Below are 19,503 nucleotides of genomic sequence, written 5' to 3' on the forward strand. Positions count from 1 at the left end.
TAATTTGGTTGTGTTTCAGTAAACTACAATCCCCAGTCATGTGACAAACACCTGTTTTTAATAGAATCCATCATCTTCAGAGAAATTGGTTGTATTCATGAGCTAAAACATGAATATATGGGCTGGGTGCAGTGGCTCACGCCTGTAATCCCAGCACTTTGGGAGGCCAAGGCGGGCAGATCACCTGAGGTCGGGAGTTCGAGACCAGCCTGACCAACATGGAGAAATCCCATCTCTACTACAAATACGAAATTAGCTGGGTGTGGTGGCACGCGCCCGTAGTCCCAGCTACTCGGGAGGCTGAGGCAGGAGAATCGCTTGAACCCAGGAGGCGGAGGTTGCAGTGAGCCGAGATCACGCCATTGCACTCCAGCCTGGGCAAGAGGAGTGAAACTCCGTCTCAAAAAAAAAAAAAAAGGAAAAAACCATGAATATATTTTTGTTGTATTTGCTCAGTGTCTGTATTTTTTAAACTACTGAAGACAGTAGGCTTGCTGAGTGGCAGTTTGAGGAGGGCTGTGTCCTTGTGCTGACCCTCTCTCCTCTGTTTCAGAGGTGGTAGCCCAGTGGTGCACACAGGGGGACTTGCTGGCAGTCGCTGGGATGGAACGGCAGACCCAGCTTGGTGAGCTTCCCAATGGTCCCCTTCTGAAGAGTGCCATGGTCAAGTTCTACAATGTTCGTGGGGAGCACATCTTCACACTGGACACTCTCGTGCAGGTAAGGATGTTCTCTGGAAACAAGTACATTTTCAGCAGTATACTAGTGAATAGGTTATTATAATTATTGTTGACAAATTTTATTTTAATCTTTTTTTACCTTAGGTTGTGGTGGGTAAACCAGGAGAAATAAGGGAGAAAGCAGTTTTTGCCTTTTAACCAGAATGCTTTATTCTATTTCCCAGTCAAATGAGCACATAGTGAATAAGCAGAGTAAGCTGGTGTTTATCATCAGTCTGAAGCAGAAATCAGAAAATTGCAGAAGTGAATGCTGAATCTTCACTTATTCACTTGTAGGAGAGGAAGAGTAATTTTCTTCTCTACTCTTAGTGAGTTCTTAGCAGGACTCCCCATTGCAAAAGACAGATTAACAAGAGAAAAACAAACAGAAGTTTAATAACTTGTGTATCTCCTGCATACGTGGGAGTTAACCCAAAGAAATGAGTAAGTCTCTAGAGTAGCTCAAAACATTCTCTTAGACTACAGGCTTAAATGCTTCACGGAAACAGAGAAAGAAGGGTGATATTCATTCTGCAGATTTAAGCCAATGTCTTTTCTTTTTTTTTTAAGTCTCCAGAAGTCCAGTCATCCTTCTCTTCTTGGTGCAGAGAGAGAGAGACCCTTACATATGTAGATTTTCTTTTCTTTTTTTCTTTCTTTTTTTTTTTTTTGAGACGCTTTCTCACCCAGGCTGGAGTGCCGTAGCGCATTCTTGGCTCACTGCAAGCTCTGCCTCCCGGGTTCACACCGTTCTCCTGCCTCAGCTTCCCGAGTAGCTGGGACTACAGGTGTCTGCCACCACGCCCAGCTAATTTTTTGTATTTTTACTAGAGATGGGGTTTCACCATGTTAGCCAGGATGGTCTCGATCTCCTGACCTCATGATCTGCCCGCCTCGGCCTCCCAAGATGCTGGGATTACAGGCATGAGCCACCATGCCCAGCCAGATTTTCTTTGTAGATGTAATTTCTCTTACAAAAGGGTAACTCTTCAGAGTTTACCCTATGTCTTTTTTTTTCCTTTTTTTTTTTTTTTTTTTGAATTGGAGTTTCACTCTTGTTGCCCAGGCTGGAGTGCAGTGGCGCCATCTCGGCTCACTGCAACCTCCTCCTCCCGGGTTCAAGCAATTCTCCTGCCTCAGCCTCCTAAATAGCTGGGATTACAGGTGCCCGCCACCACGCCCGGCTAATTTTTGTATGTTTTTTTAGTAGAGACGGGTTTTTGCCATGTTGGCCAGGCTGGTATTGAACTCCCGACCTCAGGTGATCCACCTGCCTCAGCCTCCCAAAGTGCTGGGATTACAGGCATGAGCCACCACTCCTGGCCTACCTACCCTGTGTCTTTACCCTGTGTGTATCTCAAAATAACCATCTCGAAATTATCCTTACGCCAAAGAGGCAGATCTGTGGTGGCTTATTCTAGTCTCCTACAGTCATATTTGGGGAAGCATGTCCTGAACCCTGTCACACTCTGATTTTATATTTGTTATGCCAGTGATGAACCTTTACATTTTAACTAAATTGTTGTTAAGCAGTAATTTTAAAAGCTTAAAAGTCTTTAAGAAAGTATACACAGATGGGCCCCCTTTCTATTTGTTTTTATTTCCCAGAAATCTTTAGGCCACCTTATGTTTGAGTCAGTTATAGTGGAGGATGAATTATCAGCAGCGCGTAATAGACGTATGCCTGGGAGGGAGTTGACAGTGGAGGTGATAATGAACAAGAATCTGTGTCCTAGGAAGGGGAACATCACACACCAGGGCCTGTTGTAGGGTGGGGGTAGCGGGGAGGGATAGCATTTAGGAGATATACCTAATGTAAATGATGAGTAATGGGTGCAGCACGCCAACGTGGCACATGTATACATATGTAACAAACCTGCACATTGTGCACATGTACCCTAGAACTTAAAGTATAATAAAAATATATATATATATATATAAAAAGAAAAAATAAATGGAATAGACTTCATTAAAAAAAAAAAAAGAATCTGTGTCCTAACATTACTCAGCTCATCAGAGAGGCAGGGATACCAGATATGGGGAAATCTGTAATTACATGCAGGCATTAAATATTTAAATATATATTTTCTTCTTTTAATTGTGGTAAAACACATATAACATAAAATTTATCGTCTTAACCATTTTTAAGTGTACTGTTTTGTAGTGCTGAGTGTATTACATTATTATACAACCAATTTCCAGCACCTTTTCATCTTGCAAAACTAAAACTCTTTACCTATTAAACAACTACTCCCTGTTTCTCCCTCCTCCCAGTCCATGAGAAGCACCATTTTACTATCTTTTCTGTGAGTTTGACTCTACAAACCTCATGTAAGTGGAATTATGCAATATGTTGACAAACCAAATTCTGTACAATATTTAAAGAGGTTTAGTCTGAGCCAAATATGAGCAACCATGGCCTAGGACACAGTCTCAAGAGGTCCTGAGAATATGTGATGTGCCTTAGGTAGTCAGGTCACAGCTTGGTTTTGTACATTTTAGGGAGACAGAAGTTACAGACAAAGACATACATCAATACCCGTAAGGCACATGTTGGTTAAGCCTGTGGAAAGATAGGACATCTTGAAACCAGGCCATACACATGTCACAGGTGGATTCAAAGATTTTCTGATTGGTTGAAAATCTTTGGTTGGTTGAAAGAGTTAAGCTTTGCCTAAAGGCTTGAAGTCAGGAGAAACAATTGCTTGAGTTAAGGTAAGGGGGTTGTGGAAGCCAACGTTCTTGTTCCCCGCTGCAACACCCCCCGCCGCAAGACGGAGGTCTTGCCCTGTCCCACAGGCTGGAGTGTAGTGGCGCGATCTCAGCTCACTGCAACCTCTGCCTCCCGGGTTTAAGCAGTTCTGCTTTCACCCTGTTGACCAGGCTGGTCTCCAACTCCTGACCTTGTGATCCGCCCTCCTCGGCCTCCTATAGTGCTAGAATTACAGGCAGGAGCCACTGCGCCTGGCCCCAAGGTTCTTGTTATGCAGATGAAACTACTTAAGTAGCAGGCTTCAGGGTGAATAAATGGTAAATGTCTCCTTTCAGACCTTAAAAGGTATCAGACTCTTGGTTAAATGTCTCCTGAATCAGGAAAAGACCTAGAAAAGGAAGGAGATTCTCTACAAAATGCAAATTTCCCAACAAGAGATGGTTTTGCAGGGTTTTGCCATTTGCGGGTTTTGCCATTTGCAGGTTTTGCCATTTCAAAATATATCAACAAACTATATTTGGGGGTAAAATACTTTGATTTCCTTCAACGTGATGGTATGTCATAATCACGTTGGAATTTGGTATCTTATTGCTACGAAGAGTCAGTTTTATCAGTCTTTCCTCTATTTTAATGTTAATGTTGGTCAGTTGTGCCTAAACCCCAAAGGGATGGGGGCAATTTAAGGACCATGCCCAAACTTCCTTCCTGTCACAGCCTGAACTAGTTTTCTAGACTCCTTTGGGATCCCCTTGGCCAACAGCAGGCCCATTCCGTAGGTTGGGTGGCTTAGAATTTTATTTTTGGTTTACAAGTGTTTATTTTTTTCTGACTGGCTTATTTCACTTAGCATAATGTCCTTAAGGTTCATCCATGTTGTACCATGTGTCAGAATTTTCTTTCTTTTTAAGGCTGAATAATATTTTATTGTATGGATATACCACATTTTGTTTACCCATTGATGGACATTTGGGTTTCTTCCATCTTTCGGCTGTTGTGAATAATTCTTCTGTGAACATGGGTGTACAGATCTCTTTGAGACCCTGCTTTTCAAGTCTTCTGGATTTGTGCCCAGAAGTGGACTTGCTGGATCATATGGTAATTCTATTTTTAATTTTGTGAGGAACTGCCGTACTGTTTTTTCATAGCAGCTTGTTAACAGAAAGACTAAACTGTAAAATATTTTAAAGAGGTTTATTTTGAGCCAGTATGAGTGATGCTGGCCCAGCAAAACAGTCTCAAGAGGTCCTGAGAAAGTGCGCCCGAAGCAGTTGAATTACAGTCTGGTTTTGTACATTTCAGGGAGGCAAGAGTTACAGGCAAAGACATAAATCAACATGTGGAAGGTATACGTTGGCTCAGCTTGAAAATGTGGAATATCTTGAAACCAGGAGAAGTAGAGGAGTATACAAGTCAGGTAGATTCAGAGATTCTTTAATCTACAGTTAGTTAAAGCAACAAAATTTGGTCTAGAACTTGGGAGTCAGCAGAAAGGAATATTTTAAGTTAAAACGTTCGGAAGCTATGTCAGAGTCAGCCAAAATTATGACCCATTTAGTGAGATTGATGGCCTGTAGGCATGGCTCAAGGCTTGCCTTGCATGGCCTTAGGTATTGTTTAGAATTTGTTATCTTATTGCCATCAAGAGCCTTTTGTCAGTCTTATGATCTCTATTTTAACATTTACTCAGGTCAGTTGGACCTAAATTCCAGATGGGAGGGAGTATAATGAGGTTGTGTCCAGCCTCCCTTCCTGTCATGGCTGGGAATTCAGTTTTTAAGGTTTTTCTGGGGTTTCCTTGGCCAAGAGAGTCTCCATTCAGTCGATAGGGGGCTTAGGATTTTATTTTTGGTTTACAAGCGGCACCATTTTACATTTTCACTAACATTACACAAGGATTCTAGTTTTTCCACATCCTTGCCAACATTGTCATTTTTCTGGGATTTTTTTTGGACTAACCATCCTCTTGGATGTTAGGTGATATCTCATTGTGGTTTTGATTTGCATTTCCTAAGGATTAATAATGTTGATTAGTGATGTTGTCGTGTATCTTCTTTTGAGAAATGTGTGTTCAAGTCCTTTGCCCATTTTTCAATCAGGTTATTTGGGTTTTTGTTTTTAAGAAGTAGGATTAAACTGTGTCTTTGGGCAGTATAATATTTTGAGCAAATAAGCATATTTGTTCACTCATTTGTTCAAGCATCCAGCCAAGATATTTTGAGGAGCTACTGTGTGGCTGGCACTGAGCTCTGAGTGCTTGTGTTTCAGGGCTGAACAAGGAAGACATGATCCATATCTCCTAGGAGCTCACAGCTAGTTAAGGAAGACAGACAAGTGATGACACAGAAATGCTTTTGACTTTGAAGTAGAACTGTTTACCTGGTGCTTTGATAACCTGGAGGAAAGGAGTCTTGCACCTGCTCTTTGTGGGTATTTTTCCACCTCTGCCTGATCACTTTTCGCACTCTGTATTCCTCAGACAATTTCAACCAGTCTTACAGCTTTAATTCCAATCTCAATGAAGGTCTGAAGCCTAAGGAAAGAGGCCTGTATAGACCCACCTGCTTACTTCACAGACCCATTAGCCATCTCATAAGCATTGCACATTCAACATGCCCAAATCTCGGAACACTCCACCTCTTAAATAATGCTCCTCTTCCAGGTTGTGGTCCAGCTGCTCAAGCCAGAAGTCAGCAGTCAGCCTGTCCACTGAATCCCAGTGGGTATTTTTACCTCCTAGATATCTTCATGTCTACATCCTTTTGTCTTCCTTGGCCACCACCTTAGTCCAAGCCACCCTCATCTTAGCTGCAGTGTTTGAGCCACGACTTTCCCTTTCTTTTTTTTTTTTTTTTTTTTGGACAGAGTTTCGCTCTTGTTGCCCAAGCTGGAGTGCAATGTTGCGATCAGCGTTCACTGCAACCTCTGCCTCCCAGAATCAAGTGATTCTCCTGCCTCAGCCTCCCGAGTAGCTGGTATTACAGGCGCGTGCCACCACACCCGGCTAATTTTTTGTACTTTTTTAGTAGAGATGGGGTTTTACCATGTTGGCCAGGCTGGTCTTGAACTCCTGACCTCGTGATCCACCCGCCTCAGCCTCCCAAAGTGCTGGGATTACAGGCGTGAGCCACCGCGCCCTGCCTGCCTTTCCCTTTTAAACTGTTCTTCACTTTGCAGCCACAGTCTTTGTAAAATCACAAGTCAGATCAGTAGCTTCTTACTATCCTTAGGATAAAGTTAAAAAATTCATTGTGCCTTAAAAAGATCACCATAATCTGGCCCTCCATCCCCTCTAGAATTAGCTCTTACCACTCCATCCTCCTCTGACCCTGCCAATCTGGATTTTTCTGTTTCTCAGTTTACCAGATGCCTCCTTTCTTCCAAGCTTTGCACCACGCCTGGAACAGATCTTGGCTCATGGCAGTCTCAGTAAATACTGGTTGAATGAATCAGTGAGCCTTAACATTGTATCTTACTGCTGCCCATTACTTGGTGAGTTATGTTGGGGCAGCAATCCTCTCCAGGGGGCACCAGCTGCAGAGAGTCTGTCCCTTGCAGACCCCTGACCCAGCAACGGATGAATAAAAGTACACTGACACACAGATACTCTGCTTTGCCAGTCCAGCTGTGTGGGAGCCGCTTACAGACTCCCTGCTGAGTCGTGTAAACAGTTGCGACTCCACTCGCATTTATTCAGTAAGATTAATTAACAAAAGCTTGAGTCAACACCATTAGAGGGTAATTGACATTGTGGACTTCCCCAGTAAAAAGCACTTAAGCACCTGGTACATCAAAGGTTAGTCTTAAGATTATATGAGTAAACAAGCTAGGTAGGTAAACTACGCTGCCTTTCTTTATTACTATTTTAATTTGTTTAACTAAAGGTAAAGGGATCAGGCCGCCTTCAGCCAGATAAATTACCGAAGTTACACAAACTTCTCAGTTTTCCAAGATTTGTGTCTATTTCTATAACTATCTCTAATATTTTTCCACCAGCCTGATTGAACCCCAGCATTATGTAATTTCCAAGGATCAGATAACTTAAACTTATTTGCCATTTATATTATCTCTTGGTTTCTTTAGCCACTGGCAATCGTAACATAATTTCTTTTAAAAAAATTAATAATAAATCACTTTTAGAAATAGAATACAGTTTGATTACAGCATAGTTTATGTAAGGGACAACAACAGGAAGTAAGACTAGAAAAGTGTCTTAGGACCAAATGTGTCTTAGTCTGTTTGGGCTGCTATAAGAAAATACCTTAGACTGGGTGATTTATAAATAATACAAATTTAATTCTCACAGTTTTGGAGGCTGGGAAGTCCAAGATCCAGGCACTGATAGATTCAGCGTCTGGTCCGCTCCATAGATGGCGCCTTGTGCCTGTGTCCTCACATGGTAGAATGAGTAAAAGCAGGGAGGCGCCTCCCTTTAATCTCTTTTATAAGGGCACTAATCCCATCGTGAGGGTGGAGGCCTTATGACTTAATCACTTCCCAAAGGCCCCACCTAATACCACCACCATGGGAACTAGATTGCAACAAGAATTTCGGAGGGACACACATTCAGACCATACATAGCACTGACCAAGATGTTAAACTTCATTTGGCCTTTTGTTTTGTATTTTTATTTTATGAGCAAGGGAGAGGTGAGACAGGGCTTTGGGGAGACTAAACTGACGTCAGTGTTATTATCTCAGTAAGACGGAATCAGGACAAAAATCCAGAACGGTGAAAATAGAGTGGAAGAGAGACACAGAGTTCAGAGAGATTGTAAGAGATTTGGCTTCTGGAGGACTGTGAGGAGGAGGAGGTCAGTACTAGTGAAAACAGACCTTTTTTTTTTTTTTCTCGAGACAGGATCTCACTCTGTCATTCAGGCTGGAGTGCAGTGGCATGATCTTAGCTCACTGCAACCTCCACCTCCTGGGTTCAAGCGATTCTCCCACCTCTGTCTCCCGAGTAGCTGGGACTACAGGTGTGTGCCACCACACTGGCTAATTTTTGTATTTTTTGGTAGAGACAGCGTCTCACCATGTTGGCCAAGGCTGGTCTTGATTTTCTGACCTCAAGTGATCTGTCTGCCTCGGCCTTCCAAAGTGCTGGGATTACAGGTCTGAGCCACCACACCTGGCCAAAAGCAGACCATTTTAGTTACTGTTGCAGCCACATCTCTAAGTGTGGAAGGCGTTTGGGGATGAGGGACTAGAACTGAGGCAAGAGATTGGGGTGGAGATAGAGATTTGGAGTCATCCACATGGAGGCCATAGTTGGAGAAATGAAATGGATTTAATGTCAAAGGAATGAATAGAACGAGGGGAAATGAGGAAAGGGCCAAGCATAGAACTTTGGGTAGTGGAGTGATAGCCTTCATTTAACAAGCAGCAGAAGGAAGGAGATGGAAGAGGAATGTCATAGAGAGCTGTTACCAGGGGTCCTTGCTCCCAGAGCTCCCAAGATGGTGGTGGGCTGCTTCCAGAATGGCGGCGGGCCACTTCCAAGATGGTGGCAAGCCTCGTGTTCTCTGACCTGGGGTTCTTGGCCTCACGGATTCCAAGGAATGGAATCTTGGGCCATGCAGTGGGTGTTATAGCTCTATTAGAAGTCGTGGGTCACGGAAGAGAACCGTGGAACCCAGTGACTAGTGTTCAGCTCGATTAGGGTGAACACAGTCACTTAGCCGTGCAGGAACAATGGCAAGCCTTTAGCCTGATCGGGAGCGGCAATGGGCACCTCGCTGGATCAGGAACACAGCAGACACCCTGCCAGATTCGGAGGGATGGGAGTCAGCGGCGGGTCTGCGACGGCGGCAAACAGCAGTGGTGGACAGCGAGCGAAAGCTCAGCTTGAGCCTTAACAAACATGGACCAGAAGAGTGCAGTTGCAAGATTTAATAGAGTGAAATAGAGTGAAAACAGAGCTCCCATACAAAGAGGGGACCCAAAGGGGGTTGCCGTTGCCGGCTTGAATGCCTGGGTTTATATCCCGATCCTTGTCCCTCCTGCTGTGCTCTCAGGCAAGAGATGATTGGCTATTTCTTTACCTCCTGTTTTTGCCTAATTAGCATTTTAATGAGCTCTCTAATTGGTTGGGTGTGAGCTAAGTTGCAAGCCCTCTGTTTAAAGGTGGATGCGGTCACCTTCCAAGCTAGGCTTAGGGATTCTTAGTCGGCCTAGGAAATCCAGCTAGTCCTGTCTCTCAGAACCATTAAAGGAAATATGTCAAACAAGAGAACAACAGTTGAAAGTAGACATGAAACATTGGATTTGGAGGTTTTAAGGTCAAAAATGGTCTCACTAGAATGGTGATGGAAGTCACATGGTAAAAGATTTTTCGTTCATTCAGTCATCTTTATTGAGCCATCTGTATGCCAAGCATTGTTCTAGGTGCTGGAGATACAGCTGTGACAGCCAAGATAAAGAATTGGCGACTAAGCAGCTAGTGAAGAAGTTGAGGCAGCACATGTAAACTACTGTTTTGACTGGGTTTGAGGGGAAGGCAGAGAGAGGATGGTAACTTGAAATGGAGAGGCATGACTGTGTTCATATACAATTAATAAGTCTTTGGGGAAAAAAGAAGAAATAAGCAAGAAAAAGTACAGCAAGGGACAAGAGCCCAGTGCAAGTTGGAAGATGTGGGTTTGAGGGCAGTAGGGAGGTTTAATCTGGAAGAGACAGAAAGGAAGGAGAGATTGTAGAAAGAGACAAAGGATTTTTAAGTACAGGAGGGAGCCAAAGCACACACACACTACAGGACAATGCCTGTCTTCTCAATAAGCTAAAAAGGCAGGATGAAAAGCACAAGGAAGATTCGGCAGGAGTGCCATGGAGTGCCATCCACTTGCCATTCCGGATAATAAAGTGAGAGTCAGTGATGTCCATGCCTTCACTGTAATCCTAGAGTCAGTAGTACCGATTGCCTAAAATTAGGAACTGGAAAGGTGAGTGTAGTAGCAGGGCCAAGGAGTCGAAGGAATCTAGGAAACTGCTAAGGATACTATGGAATTGGGCAGCCATGGCATCAGTGGTTAGATACTTCATGACCTGAGGCTAGGAAGTGTAAAGTCATAAAAAGACATGTTCAAGAGGAGGTGATACAAACAAAATGGGAAGTTGTGGTTGGATAGGGACTTTAAATTTCTGTTTTGGAAGTGAAGTCATTCTGCGTTAACCCAGGAAAGAGCTGAAGTAGAACAGAGTTAAGGCCATATGTATGAGGCCAGGGCATTGGCAAAACAAACATAAATATTAGAGTTCCTGTGGATTTGGGATTGAAGGAAGGAGAGATTACCTTGATTCTGTTTGTGTCCCCACTGCCAGTTCATTGCCTAGAACGTAGTAGGTACTTAGTAAATCTTTCTTCAGTGGGTTTATGGATGGACTGGTGTCAACATAGGCTTTCTTTCATCTTTCTGTTGATTGTTTGAACCTGTAGGCTGTGTCACATTTATAATCAATCTGATGCTGGCTTTTTATAAGGCTTTTATGATTAGAATATTTGTGAATTCAAGTGCTGAAACACACTCAGCATTGTCCCCACTTCATCTGACTTAGGGCCCCCTTCCTGCTGGCATTGTGTTCCTTCTACAGGGAATGTCCTTCCCGCCGTTTTAGCTCAGGAATTGGATCCTCCTCAGTGCCAGCTCAGTCACGTTTTCTTTTAAAGCTGCCTAGTGGATTGAGGCTCCCCTTCTCTGTAAACCCTCGGGGTGTTTAACACCTCTGGCATGTATTACACTTTTCTGTCTACTTGTCTTATTTTCCTGAAGACAGAGGCTTCCTTTTTCTGACCAGTGCCTAGACTGTAGTAAAGGTTTTATGGCCTTAACCATTGCAGAAGTTCTCATCAGCCATCACATGAAAGTAACATGGATCCTGAATTTAAACTATTTGAGCTCAGGAATAAGAGAAAAGGCCCTGACTGATCTTCCTTTGAAGAAAGATATCCCTACAGTACCTCAGCATTTCAATAAATTATTGATTCTTTTTTTCATTGAGGGTCCATTTCAACCATTGAAAAAATCGCCTCAATAATAGAAAGTTAAATAATGATGCCATTAAAAATCAAGTACAATATTAATTATATTTAGCACCAGTTTAACTCTTGTCTAATGATTCGAAAATCACATGTGATCTATGCTGTGCTATTCAAGGAGTCCAAAGGCAGGGACATTTTTATAGCAGGAAGGAAGTTAGGCGATTTATTGGACTGCTTATAAAAAGAACTAAATGCAATTTAGATTGGATAATGTATTTCCAAGTTAATTAGATTGTAGGGTATTGCGTACAAAACCATTGCCTGGGACGAACTTGCAGCAGCAGCAGCAGCTTTAAAATTGATTCTCCTGATTTACTTGTAACAGCAATGCTTGTGGCTGGAGCTCTTCTAAGGAAATATGCTCTGATTTATTTTCCTTTCTGTCCTACATGTTGTAATGTAAAATTCTGTAATTTATCTCATTAGCTGTTATCTGTGACTCTCTATATATTCTTGCATATCTGAAAATATAACAGGTTTTCAGAGTTAGCACTACTGACTGAAGTTTGTAGGCTTCAATAATTTAGGCCCAGGTTTTTGTTTTGTTTTATGGTCTTCTGGCATTGAAGGCCAGTGGAGAGGTCACCCTATATTCTGTAAGGTTCAGTTGTTGATGTGATACTGGGTAAAAAATTAAGAGAAGAGAAGGTGGAAAAAGATGGGTATGGGAATTTAAAAATCAAATAAGAGATTGCATGTGTGATTGTGGACTTCTGTACTCTTGGAGGCGAATCCTATAGCAAAAATAGACTTGCATTCTTTCACTTAGGATTAACTCTGCCTGTTCTGCTGAAGTTGCCCCTGTTGTGCTTTTCCCATTTTTTCTTGTAAGTAGATGAGAAAGTCCTTCATGGGTCTTGTCTGCTTACAAAATACAAGGATGGTTGTGTTCTTTTAAAACTAAAATTTGGTTGACCGAACGCTGAACTAGCTTTTATTACTACAATTTAGTTGGTGGCCAAATCATTATAACTTTGTATTCAAAATTGTCTGTGGCTCCAACCAACGTAGTTTGACGGTGACCGATCACCAACTTGGTCTGTTTTTGTTTGTTTGTTTTTAGACAGAGTTTTGCTCTCGTTGCTTAGGCTGGTGTGCAATGGCGCGATCTCAGCTCACTGCAACCTCTGCCTCCCGGGTTCAAGTGATTCTCCTGCCTCAGCCTCCCGAGTAGCTGGGACTACAGGCATGTGCCACCACGCCCGGCTAATTTTCTTGTATTTTTAGTAGAGACAGCGTTTCACCATGTTGGTCAGGCTGGTCTCAAACTCCTGACCTCACTGATTCTCCTGCTTCAGCCTCCCAAAGTGCTGGGATTACAGGAGTGAGCCATAACATGCCTGGCCTTTTAAAAATTTGTTATAAACAGAGTCTCACTGTCTCCCAGGCTGGAGTGCAGTGGCATGATCATAGCTCACTGTAGCCTCAACCTCCTGGGCTCAAACGATCCTCCTGCCTCAGCCTCCCAAGTAGCTAGGACTACAGGTGTGCACCACCACACCCAGCTAATTTTGAAAATTTGTTTTGTAGAGACAGGGTCTTGCTATGTTGCCCAAGCTGGTCTTGAATTCCTTGCCTCAAGCAATCTTCCTGCCTCAGCCTCCCAAAGTGCTGGGATTATAGGCATGAGCCATTGCACCTTGCCCTTCTTCTGTTTTAAAGTGAACTATTTTGCACATGTTTGTACAGACATAAAACATTTCATCCTACTAGGTGCATTTTCTTCAAGACAGATCCCCCATCCTTCTTAGGGAGAGCTACAGAAAGAACAAACAAAGGGTGGAGAGGGAGGCTGGAGAGCCTCCGACTGTCCCAGGAATCTGCCTCCTCGGTGGCCGGGTAGCCAGTCCTCAGCCCAAGGCCTCCCTCAGTCATCCAGAAACCCTGTGCTGGCACTGCCTGGTTTTCCCTGTCCAGGACCAGTATAGTTGGTTTTTGTTCCTCCTACATTTTCAGAAGACTCTATCCAACTCACTGCTATATACAAAAATAGTAATATAGTGAGGAAGCTTTCAATTCCAATTAAATAGATTTCTCCTCTCAGCCAGGCCTCTGCTCAAACCACCTCCAGGGCAGCCTCCCTGCTCCCTCTCTTCAAAAAGACCCCCTTGCTGTTGCTCTGGCTCTCGCTCAACACTGTTTTTTACTTCACGGAATTTCACTACCTCACGTTATCAGGTAGTTCCTGTCACAGATACTGAGATACAGGTTGAGTACTCCTTATCTGAAATGCTTAGGACCAGAATTGTTGTGGATTTCAGATTTCTTTTTAATTTCAGAATATTTGCATTGTATCAGGTGAGCATCCCAAATCTGAAAATTCGAAATACTCCAATGAATATTTCCTTTGAGCATCTTGTTGGCACTCCAAAAGTCAGATTTTGGAGCATTTTGGGTTTCAGATTTTCAGATTAAGGATACTTCACCTGTATTTATTCTCTCCCTGCCACGCCAGGATGTAAGCTCTACAAGGGCAGAGAATGTATTTGATTCATTGTCAGTCCCCTTATAACTAGCATGGATCTGTCCATTTGTATACATTTAGCAAATATTTATCTAATGACTAACAGCTCAGTAGATAAAAAAATGATTGGCTGGACGCATGGCATGTCTTGTGTACTAGCAGGAGGAGAGGTGGCAGAGTAAGGAACGGGCACCAGGCCTTGATTGCCACACTCCCTGGTGGGAGGTGAGGCAGGGCTGGCCCGCATCTTTTCCTTTCCGGGGCTCAGCCTCAGCATTGAGGGGGAGAAGCCAGAGGAGAAGCCTGCCCCTCCATGGGCCACTCGCCTCCAGCACTGTGGCCTAGAGTTTGTCCTTTCCAGCTGAGCAGTGGTTCTCCCTGTTCCACCAGACCCACACTCCCTGAAATGCAGCTCAGTTTCTTGCACTTTTGCCTCAGATTTAGACGTGTAAAATATGTGAACCTCCCTATGCAAATTAAGATTTGAATGTCATCTGCTTCACAGTTCTAGCCATCAGTTCTAAAAATAGTCGTTTTATGGGATTTGAGAAAGAGATTAAGACCGCAAACTTACAATTGAGTTTTTCCCTAGCAGACAGCAGCTGTTCAAACACAACGTGAATCTGGGAGCTTTGAAGAGCTGTGCTGTTCTGCTGCGGCTCAGCCTAGTAGGCGGAGGTTCTTAGGGAGGAGGTACCTTCAGCATGGGTGAGGTCTGTGGGCCTGCAGACAGTGTGTTCATGTTCTGCCATCACCCATGAACCTAGAGGACAGAGTGATGGAAATTGATGACTGTGAGGTGGCAAAATCAGGACTAGCGTTAGTGAACGCCCCGCCCCGTGTCTGTGGCCACATGCAGTTAGCGCCATTTGACTCTTGTTCTTGCCAAAACTACAGAACATTTGTAGCGAGGGCTTTATAGGCTGGAATACCAGTAAACAGCCAGGGAAAAATTAACACCAGCAGAAATGTGACTTTTAAAAAGTAAGATGACCTGTTAGGGACTTTCTGTGGACTTACAGGGGTCCTGAGAAGTCATACCCTGCTGCCTCACTTCTGACCAAACAGTCATCACAGTCATTCATTTCCCCAGGTCAGTGATGACTCAGAATCTTCAGACAAGAGGGGCAGTTCTTGTTATCTGTCACTCCTTCCCCGTTTTTCTAGCACAGCCTTAAAATTATTATGGCAAAGGTACCAGCGTTTATTTTGCTGCTTTATCATCTTACATGGACTATATGCTACACAAACTAAATTAAATTAAATCAATGTGTCCGTGCCCTGCCCTCTCCCAGAGTAAGTTTTCACTTACTTGGGCAAGTAAATGAGTGCTGCACCCTAATTAATTTAATGTAAATTCCTGTGTTGGTGTTCTTGTCCCATTCTTAGAAGAGGGGATTTCCTGGTAACGTTGCCCTAGATAATAATTATTCCTTTGAGACCCTGCAGACCTCACTTCTCCAGGCTAAATAATTTCAGCCCTTTTTCTCCCAGGTTCTAATGTTCCATCCTTTAATCTTTCGCGTCTTCTCACTCCTGCTTGGCTGAGAATTCCAAGTCGTCCGAGCGAATGCGCTACCTGGTTTGGAGTCACACCATCCTCCCTCGCCTTCGAGATGTGCCAGCGACTGTGTTCCGTGTTCATCCAACCATGCTACCTGCCTAATTACCTGTGGGCTCTCTTCTGCTGTGATGAACCCCGCAGATCATTTATTTATATGCTGTGTAAACAGCCTGTTTCTCTTCCTATTTGCCTTTTCTATAGACATGTTTGGTTTGTTTCTGAGTAAAGCAGCTTTGACCAAATGGACTAAGGGGCCATCTGGGGCTCACGATTTTGTATGTGATGGACAAATGGTTAAATTTTTCAGTGGAGTATTACGCATTCTTTAGGCTGTGGTATCAATATGTTGGCACTTCAGAGAGTCAGCACCATGTAGTAAGATAAGGACCAGCAGTGGAGCTGGGGAGGGATGAGAATCACAGCTCTTCCACCATTTATTACTATAACAAGGTACCTAGCCTGCCTTAGCCTCTCTAACCTCATATGTTAGATGAGAATAATGTTATTCATGTGGGAGAGTAGAACGGATGCAGTGAATTCAGGTATGTGAGCATTTGATGTGCTTGCTGTTGGAATGTAGTTTTGCAGACAAGGTTGTTTTTGTCAGGATGGGTGGTAATTATATATATAAAGGTAACAAAGCTGATTTTCATCTAGTTGAAGGTCTGTGTGAGTGGTTTAAGTTCTTGGTACAAAGATATAAGAGACACATACTTATGATAATTTTATATAAAATATATCATCAACTGTTATACAGAGATAGTTACTATGAAAAGCAGAACTAGGAGGGAGGAGGACAGAGGATAAATACAGAGTGTCTGCCTTTCAGATAGCTGGACTAAAGAGGAATGGGAAATTAGAGGGAAGAAGTGTCTGATGTTTCTGCAGCCAGTCAGGTTGTGCTCATTGAAAACTGTTTTTCCAAACAACCTCATTAAAAAGTGGGCAAAGGACATGAACAAATACTTTTCAAAAGAAGACATACATGCAGCCAACAAGCATATGAAAAATGCTCAACATCATGAACCATTAGAGAAATGCAAATCAAAACCACAGTGAGATACTATCTCACACCAGTCAGAATGGCCATTATTAAAAAATCAAAGAATAATAGATGTCGGCATGGTTGCAGAGAAAAGGAAACGCTTCTACACTGCTAGTGGGAGTGTAAATTAGTTCGGCCATTGTAGAAAACAGTGTGGCAATTCCTCAAAGAATTGAGAACTAACGTTCGACCCAGCAATCCCATTACTGGGTATATACCCAAAGGAATATTTGTTCTATCATAAAGACCCATGCATGCATATGTTCATTGCAGCACTATTCACAATAGCAAAGATATGGAATCAACCTAAATGCCCATCAGCAGTAGACTGGATAAAGAAAATGTGATACATAAACACCATGGAATACTATGCAGCCATAAAAAAGAACAAGATCATGTCCTTTACAGGAACATGGATAGAGTTGGAGGCCACTATCCTTAGCAAACTAACGTAGGAACAAAAAAACCAAATACCATATATTCTCACTTCTAAGCCGGACCTGAATAACAAGAACACATGGATACAGGAAGGGGAACAACTTGAGGGTGGAGAGTGGGAGGAGGGAGGAGGGAGAAGATCAGAAAAAATGCCTGTCGGGTACTATGCTTATTATCCAGGTGACAAAATTACCTGTACACCAAATCCCTGTGACACAGTTTACCTATATAACCTGCTTGTGTACCCCTGAACATAAAAGTTAGAAACAAAAATAAAACCATTTTTTGGGGGACTTGAGCTCTAAGTTATGAATATTGTCTTAGGGGGCTCAGAGGTAAAGGGACAGCAGCGTATCTTTAAGATCAAGCATGATTTTGTTACTAATAGAGCCTCTGTCCTAACCTGTACTTTTGGGGGTTGACGATACCAGAGTAATTTTTCTGTGCATTTTCTGTGTGTTGGTTTGCCCTGTCTTCAGCAGTGATTATGTATTTCTGTAAGTTAATAGGTCCCTTTGTGTGGGGCCTGCCCCCTGTGTGGAATCATCTCATATGGAGACATGTCCTGGAAGTGTCCCAGAAGCCCCTAGACTTGAGTTTTCCAGACTCCTTGGCCAACAAACACGGCCCTCCCCTGGGGACTGTGGCCATCACCCCACCCTGCAACTGCCTGGCCTCCTGTGGTAGAAAGGGAAGATGAATGATCATCAGCGCTCCATCTGTCTGGATCGGAATGAACAAATCTCTTGCTGCTTCTCCGTCACGACCCTTCACCTTTCTTTCTCCCTTGGCTAGATGGCACCCCTGAGCTTTGGATTTTTTTTTATTATAAGAATTTTCTAACTTGCATATTTGCATTTTGGCCTGCATTCTCAAAGATAATGATGGCCATGACCCTAGCGAGGCTACCACAGGAACCGTGTTCTCCTCAATCGCCTTTCCAGGGAGCTTTCTTTCCCTGCACCGTCAGTGCCAAGGGAGGCTGAAAATGCAGTGACTGTGGGTTATATACTGTGATGGCCCCAGAAGGGCTGTGACTCCATCACCTCCTGTAATCCTCACAGGGTCCCCACTCATGAGAAAAGGGGGAGGCTTCTAGGGGTTATGGATAGTCCCCAGGTCACACAGCTGGTAAGACCAAGTCCATTGTTGATCTGACTCTGGACGGAAGGGAAGGGCCATCTGGTCTACCTCATCACCACCTCCCCAAGCCATGGGAACCACCCTTGGGTAATTTGGGAATCTAGAAAAACAGCCCTTCAGTAAGGAATGTGAGTTACTGCACCACAAGGTGATTGCCCCTACTAGTAGAAACCTTACTACCCAGAGCTCAGTTGGGTTTCATGACCCCAAATTAAATGAAATATAATACAGGTAAACAAACTTTATAAAATTATTCCAATGCTTTAATGCTCTGGCCTGGGGACCTAATTACTTTTATTTTATTTTGTTTTATTTTTAAGATGAGAATCTCGCTGTATTGCCCAGGCTGGTCTTTCAGCCTGGCCTCATGCAATCTTCCCACCTTGGCCTTCTAAAATGCTGAGATGACAGCCTTATGCCACCATGCCCAGCCCTCTAGCCAATTTTCAATAAACATACTGAATTTTCGTAATATAGTGTCTAACATTCTCTACTGTGCTTTTAAAACCAGTATTCTCAAAACAGCTTATTTTATTTTGCTCGAGACAAGTGTGCATTATCCCTTTTTGCTTCCCACAAGAGCAAAAGCTTAAGCATTGTCTTCCCTTCACTTCCTGCCAGCGCCCCATCATCTCCATCTGCTGGGGTCACCGGGATTCGAGGCTGTTGATGGCATCAGGACCAGCCCTGTACGTGGTGCGTGTGGAGCACCGGGTGTCCAGCCTGCAGCTGCTGTGCCAGCAGGCCATCGCCAGCACCTTGCGTGAGGACAAGGACGTCAGCAAGCTGACTCTGCCCCCCCGCCTCTGCTCCTACCTCTCCACTGCCTTCATCCCCACCATCAAGGTAAAGCCCTCCACCCCTCCCTCTTCCTCCTCCCTCACCTGTGCTGGCTCCCCACAGAGCCAGGGCAGAGACAGGTGAGGGTACCAGAGTGAGCACATGGGGCCATGTGCAGCTGTGCAGGATCCTGTCATGTGCTGCCAGGTCTGCAGTCTGTCGAAGCATCATGGTCCATGTCCATGAGAGATTTGCCCTGTGTGGTGGCTGTTATCTTTCTCATGGCAAAGCTGGTATTCCTGGACTTCTGTGTCCCTCTGATGATCAAAGGAGTGACCATTATTCAGCATTTCCTATATACTAAGCATTGCACCAGTTAATTTTTAGAAATCTGTCTTGTTCAGTCCTGACTTCCTGACAGATGCCATTATTCGCATTTAAGGAAGCAGGAAACAAGTTAGGAGAAGTTAAGTAACTTGCTCCCTAGCTGGTTAGGGGGACAGTCAGGATTAGACCCACCCCAGTTCTAGGGCCTGCTCTCAGCACTGCTGAGGAGGGCCACTCCAGCCAGCACTCAGCGTCAGCCACCTTTTATACCAGTGG

General features: G+C 43.7%; 1 protein-coding gene across 14 annotated transcripts in view, besides 8 other annotated features; it reads left to right on the forward strand.

Annotated features, from left to right (window-relative positions):
- The window catches only part of TULP4 (TUB like protein 4), a 279,634-nt gene that overhangs the window by 228,815 nt on the left and 31,316 nt on the right, over window positions 1–19,503 (forward strand). For 10 of the 14 annotated variants that reach the window (XM_047419087.1, XM_047419084.1, XM_047419086.1 and 7 more), the window contains 2 exons: window positions 554–720; window positions 18,742–18,966. In XM_047419087.1, the coding sequence (XP_047275043.1) occupies window positions 554–720; window positions 18,742–18,966 (392 nt within the window). Of the gene's footprint in view, window positions 1–553; window positions 721–4,458; window positions 4,528–18,741; window positions 18,967–19,503 lie in introns of all 14 variants that reach the window. The other 4 variants (XM_047419082.1, XM_047419081.1, XM_047419079.1 and 1 more) reach the window with 1 other exon arrangement.
- Window positions 2,778–3,769: an enhancer, noted in NCBI's record as "OCT4-NANOG-H3K27ac hESC enhancer chr6:158884819-158885810 (GRCh37/hg19 assembly coordinates)". NCBI's record gives its function as "activates a minimal SCP1, AML or CMV promoter by ChIP-STARR-seq in naive and primed H9 embryonic stem cells {active_cell/tissue: H9 hESC(naive and primed)}" and the evidence as "EXISTENCE:reporter gene assay evidence [ECO:0000049][PMID:30033119]".
- Window positions 3,770–4,761: an enhancer, noted in NCBI's record as "OCT4-NANOG-H3K27ac hESC enhancer chr6:158885811-158886802 (GRCh37/hg19 assembly coordinates)". NCBI's record gives its function as "activates a minimal SCP1, AML or CMV promoter by ChIP-STARR-seq in naive and primed H9 embryonic stem cells {active_cell/tissue: H9 hESC(naive and primed)}" and the evidence as "EXISTENCE:reporter gene assay evidence [ECO:0000049][PMID:30033119]".
- Window positions 8,772–9,653: an enhancer, noted in NCBI's record as "H3K27ac-H3K4me1 hESC enhancer chr6:158890813-158891694 (GRCh37/hg19 assembly coordinates)". NCBI's record gives its function as "activates a minimal SCP1, AML or CMV promoter by ChIP-STARR-seq in naive H9 embryonic stem cells {active_cell/tissue: H9 hESC(naive)}" and the evidence as "EXISTENCE:reporter gene assay evidence [ECO:0000049][PMID:30033119]".
- Window positions 13,751–14,323: an enhancer, noted in NCBI's record as "H3K27ac-H3K4me1 hESC enhancer chr6:158895792-158896364 (GRCh37/hg19 assembly coordinates)". NCBI's record gives its function as "activates a minimal SCP1, AML or CMV promoter by ChIP-STARR-seq in primed H9 embryonic stem cells {active_cell/tissue: H9 hESC(primed)}" and the evidence as "EXISTENCE:reporter gene assay evidence [ECO:0000049][PMID:30033119]".
- Window positions 14,371–14,420: an enhancer, noted in NCBI's record as "active region_25356". NCBI's record gives its function as "activates an Ori minimal core promoter by ATAC-STARR-seq in GM12878 lymphoblastoid cells {active_cell/tissue: GM12878}" and the evidence as "EXISTENCE:reporter gene assay evidence [ECO:0000049][PMID:35858748]".
- Window positions 14,741–14,820: an enhancer, noted in NCBI's record as "active region_25357". NCBI's record gives its function as "activates an Ori minimal core promoter by ATAC-STARR-seq in GM12878 lymphoblastoid cells {active_cell/tissue: GM12878}" and the evidence as "EXISTENCE:reporter gene assay evidence [ECO:0000049][PMID:35858748]".
- Window positions 14,841–14,920: an enhancer, noted in NCBI's record as "active region_25358". NCBI's record gives its function as "activates an Ori minimal core promoter by ATAC-STARR-seq in GM12878 lymphoblastoid cells {active_cell/tissue: GM12878}" and the evidence as "EXISTENCE:reporter gene assay evidence [ECO:0000049][PMID:35858748]".
- Window positions 18,342–18,843: an enhancer, noted in NCBI's record as "H3K4me1 hESC enhancer chr6:158900383-158900884 (GRCh37/hg19 assembly coordinates)". NCBI's record gives its function as "activates a minimal SCP1, AML or CMV promoter by ChIP-STARR-seq in primed H9 embryonic stem cells {active_cell/tissue: H9 hESC(primed)}" and the evidence as "EXISTENCE:reporter gene assay evidence [ECO:0000049][PMID:30033119]".

This window comes from Homo sapiens, chromosome 6 (genome assembly GCF_000001405.40).
Source record: "Homo sapiens chromosome 6, GRCh38.p14 Primary Assembly".
Taxonomy (NCBI): Eukaryota; Metazoa; Chordata; class Mammalia; order Primates; family Hominidae; genus Homo; species Homo sapiens.